Below are 4,673 nucleotides of genomic sequence, written 5' to 3'. Positions count from 1 at the left end.
TGTTTTGAGGCTATTTTTAGCAGCTTTTGTTACCCTAACTAGTTCAGAAATCTGCTTGGTATAGTGAAAGAAAAGCACTGAGAAGCTTAACTACTTCTTGCTGGGTGGCAAAATTGTAATTTCTAATAAAATTACAAGATTTGTATAAGTTCGTGCATTTTATGATTTCTACTCCAAAATATTTTGGCTATTCCTTAAGTATAAACATAATTTTACATATTTATGTATTTATTTATTTAATGTCAATCACTCTGTCGCCCAGGCTGGAGTGCACTGGCACTATCTCAGCTCACTGCAACCTCCGCCTCCTGCGTTCAAGCGATCCTCCTGCCTCAGCCTCCTGAGTAGCTGGCACTACTGGTGTGCACCACCACACAGGGCTAATTTTTGAATTTTTTTGCAGAGACGAAGTTTAGTCATGTTGCCCAGTCTGGTCTCTAACTCCTGGGCTCAAGCAATTAATCTGTCTTGGCTTCCCAAAGTGCTGGGATTACAGGCATGAGCTACCACGGCTGGCCTTATAATTTAAATACGATGATATGTACATGCGTGTATACACACAGACAATCATAAGTGCATAGTCTTATGGGCTTTGAAAAATGTATACACTCATCTAACCTGTGTACCCACGCATTACCCTGGAAAGTTCTCTGTGCTTCCTTCCTGCTGTTGCCCTCTTCCCAAGGCAATTGCTGCTTTGATTTCTATTGCCATAGATTAGATTTGCCTATCTTGAAACTTATATAAATGCAATCTTGACATATCTACTACAAGTATTTTTCTTTGCTTTTTAAAAATATTTCAGTTTGAGATAACTGTGCATACATAGGAAGTTAAAAATATTTTACAAAGAGTTCTTATGCACTCAACTTCTCCTAGAGTTAACATGCTACATAACCAATTAACATTCTTTGTAGTGCATACTTCTGTTGACCATGTAATTATAAACTGAGAGCTTATACTTTGAACTTAATTCAGAAATGAAAACTAAGTAGCTCATTACATTACCTTAAATGATAACGAAGTAAATATTTTTAATTATTATAACTACTTGTCATCTATACAGAGTATTCTATAAATATTTTTTCTGTTGTTAAACTTATTCAAACTATGGATCTGAGGCCTTCACTATGGTAAGTAGGTCCATATTTTTATTTCCTGGCTACAATTTAATACAACTAAGTTACATATTTGCTCTGACAAAATCTCTTTCATTATAGAGAAACTTACCTTAAAAAGACAAAATTGTAGGATAACTAGATTTCTGCAAAAATGGTCCAAGTTACTTGTGATAGTTGTAAATTGAATTTATTATATTTTATATCACATTATTTTTATGTGTGTTATTATTATGTCTTTAAAAGTAAGTGTGTAATCTGAGAATAGGTGGAGAAAATTGGATGAATCACATGGTGAAATACATAAGATCCAGTTTTTGGTGATAGTCAATACTTAGCTTTGTTTAATATACTTCTACTTGCATCAGTACCCAAGCAGCTACTTTCATTGATTGAACTGCATAATCAGGGGTCATGATAAAATCCCTGAAAGAGACAGAACCATCTTTGTAAGCTGTGCTAAGGACTTCAATGCCCAGTGGATATATATCAAGAGCTAATTTAAAATATACTATTGGAAGATGATTTTATTGTCAATCCAGCATTTCCTAATTTTCTGGATGCTTTTTTTTTTTCATGGTTCCATTCAAATGAACACGGGAAAACAAGAATATTGTACAGTCTGACTCAGATTTCAAGGGGGGTGAGTACCTGTACCATACTGAGCCAGAATCTCTTCTCGGGGAGCTTGGCAATAGGATTAAGATATTCCAGCCTCGTCTCTCTGTTCTCTTAGGGAGAGAAGATACAAAACTGGAAATATAATGTAATGCATGTTCTACCATGAAACCTGAAAAACAGCAAATGTCAGTTTCCAACAAGAAACAAAAATAAAACCAATATGCAAAAAGATGAGAAAAACTTTTCTGCTGGCGTCCAAGTATCTGATTTCAATTCATTCCCGAGACCTACTTTTAGACGTGTCTTAAGATCCTAACCAATCAAACTCTTATAATAAAATACCTTTTACTTACATAAGGACAAGTAGGTATATTTTGCTTGCCATCAAGAGTCTAAAATAAAACTCTATTGTGCTTTCAACTTTATGTTCTCACTAAATATTTGTATTATATTTAAATTATCTTAATTTAAGTTATAATGAAAATTAAGAGTATTTAGTGAATGAGACTCAACAGTAATTATAGGTATGGAACTATTTTAGTTGAATATTTGACCTGTTTGGATACTTCTTGAGCACATATTCACCCTATGATTCACACATTGTGCATTTCAATCTAGTATGCTAAATAATGATAAGCAAGTACACTTAGGGAGCACTAACTCTTATTGTCCTTGGCTTAGTTAAAAGTGAATTCCACGTCATGTCCAAAGAAGGGCTATCTTATGAGGCTAGATTTTCAATAGAATTCTTGATCCACCAGAGATAGTATAACCCACCACACCAAATAAAATATATTCTACATTGTGGTTGTGAAATAATCCTAAAGGTTATGAAACATGGTAAGCTGTGTCTTTGTTTGAGAATTAGCACTTTACAATCCATGCTCACGTCCATGTAATAATGTCACTGAGCCCTCAAGGTTCAGCAAGTTCTTTAGCTAAAAGTATAATCAACTTTTGCTTTGATCCTGCTTGAAACTTCTCAGAACACTTAAAGCTGATTTATTCCCTAAACCAACATAAAGAATGAAAATTATTTGCTCTCTGAAAAAGGACCTGAATGCAACTTGAAAAATCTAATCAAAATATCACAAATCTCAGATATAATTTTATTTGATATACTGTAGAGAAAATAGCATATTAGGTTGATATTCCACTTTTTATAAAATTTACCCTAAAATGTGATATTCTTACATTAAAATACTTTTCCAGAGCAAAACCAAACAAAGCCAGATTATGCTATTTAGACATATTATATTTGTTTCTGTTTCTCTCTCTTTTATTTTTGTTCTTGCTCAAGGTCCATTGTAATTCACTCAAGTTTGAACTAATTATGTAGCTTGAGTGAAGCAAAATAAAATATTTAAAGTCTTATTTAAGAAACAATAGATACTTTATGTATGTTTGACTATAGATTTTTCTACAGGTTTTCTATCCATTCTACCCCTGCAATTCTCCCTTTACCCTCCAACACATATGCACGACTGCCATGTTACTAAATCCAATGGAAAATCCACGTTTCCTCCTGACTCACCACTGGCATTTTACGCAGACGCTCCTTCCTCCTTGATGAAATCTTATCCCTTGGCTCACAGAACCCCAAATATCCTTGGTATTCCTCTCCCCTCACTGCCTCTCTTTCTCTGCCTTCTTTGATGGTTCCTATTTCTGTTCTCAGCTCCATGTTGAAATGTCCAATGCTCTATCCTTGGTTAGCTTCTCTTTTTTATCTGTACTTACTCCCTGGATGAGCTCATCTAGTCTATTGCTTTAAAATTCCATATCTAAAAACTCTCATTTTTCTCCAGCAAAGGCCTCTCTCCTAAACTCCAGATTCATGTATTCAACTGCCTACTCAAAATCACCATTTGAATGTCTAAGAGACATTGAAGATTCAGCATATTGTATAATGAACTCCTGAAATTTTCCCCAAACCTGCCCCACCTATAGCCTTCCTAATCACAGTAATGGCAATCATCCTTCTTAGTTGTCAAGGTTGTGAAAGTTGTCAGATTCAAAATGTAGGCACTAATGTTAAGAAAACCCTGATAAATAGAGCCAGGAAAGGCCATGAAGTGAGTGTTGTCGTGCTTATATGCCGGAGAACAAAAACTGTCACGAAAGACTGCAAAAAACACAACCTGGCAAAAAGACCATTGCAATCTTTCACCAAAAATACTTCTGCAAGGGTATCCTCCCAGCAGCTGTCTGTTCAACCTCAGACTCGTGTCACCCTTGTTATTGAAGGATAATTATTCCAGAACAATTATGTAATCTTCCTCATTTTGACCTTTAAAAATCTTTGTATTCTTTTACCCCCTTAACTATGCACATAGTTTACTATCATGTGCATATTGCCATTGTGATGCATTACTCCCAGATAAACATCTTTCCTTTTATAGAGCCTCTTCCTGTTTGTTGTCTAGGTTGACAAGGTCAAAATATTGAAATTATTTTTCACTCATCATTTTTTCTCGTGCCCTATATCCAATATATCAGCAAGTCATGCTGACTCTATCTTCAAAATACTACTAAAATTTACCACTTCTAGGCACATTTGCATTTAAATACAAATTATAAAGTACATTGTTTTCATTGAATAGAGATATGCAGTAGTTATGCATATTTTTAGAAAACTCAGATTGGTCATATTAAGTCATTAATAAAAATTATAAGATGTTTGAATCCCACCACTGGTTAGCCATGCCATTTTTACAGTTATCTAATAGCACTAAGCCTTAGTTTGCTTATATTAAAAAATGGAATTAAGATCACCAACCTAAAAGAATTTCTGTAAGAAAGAATTCTGATCTCTAAGGTTTCATCTCTAAGAATCATAGCTCTAAAATAACAGGGGGTGGAGGAGAAGAGAAAACTAAAATGCCCAGTATAAATCTTTTTTAGTACAACTTACTCAAGGCTAACTTTTGTGTT

At 34.3% G+C, this 4,673-nt stretch overlaps 1 long non-coding RNA gene across 1 annotated transcript in view; it reads right to left on the bottom strand.

Annotated features, from left to right (window-relative positions):
• Positions 1-4,673, bottom strand: part of LINC02141 (long intergenic non-protein coding RNA 2141) — a 198,621-nt gene that overhangs the window by 137,712 nt on the left and 56,236 nt on the right. The gene's annotated exons all lie outside the window — the stretch shown is intronic.

This window comes from Homo sapiens, chromosome 16 (genome assembly GCF_000001405.40).
Source record: "Homo sapiens chromosome 16, GRCh38.p14 Primary Assembly".
Taxonomy (NCBI): domain Eukaryota; kingdom Metazoa; phylum Chordata; class Mammalia; order Primates; family Hominidae; genus Homo; species Homo sapiens.
The sequence above is the reverse complement of the archived record's forward strand: the minus strand, read 5'-3'. Positions and strand labels throughout refer to the sequence as shown.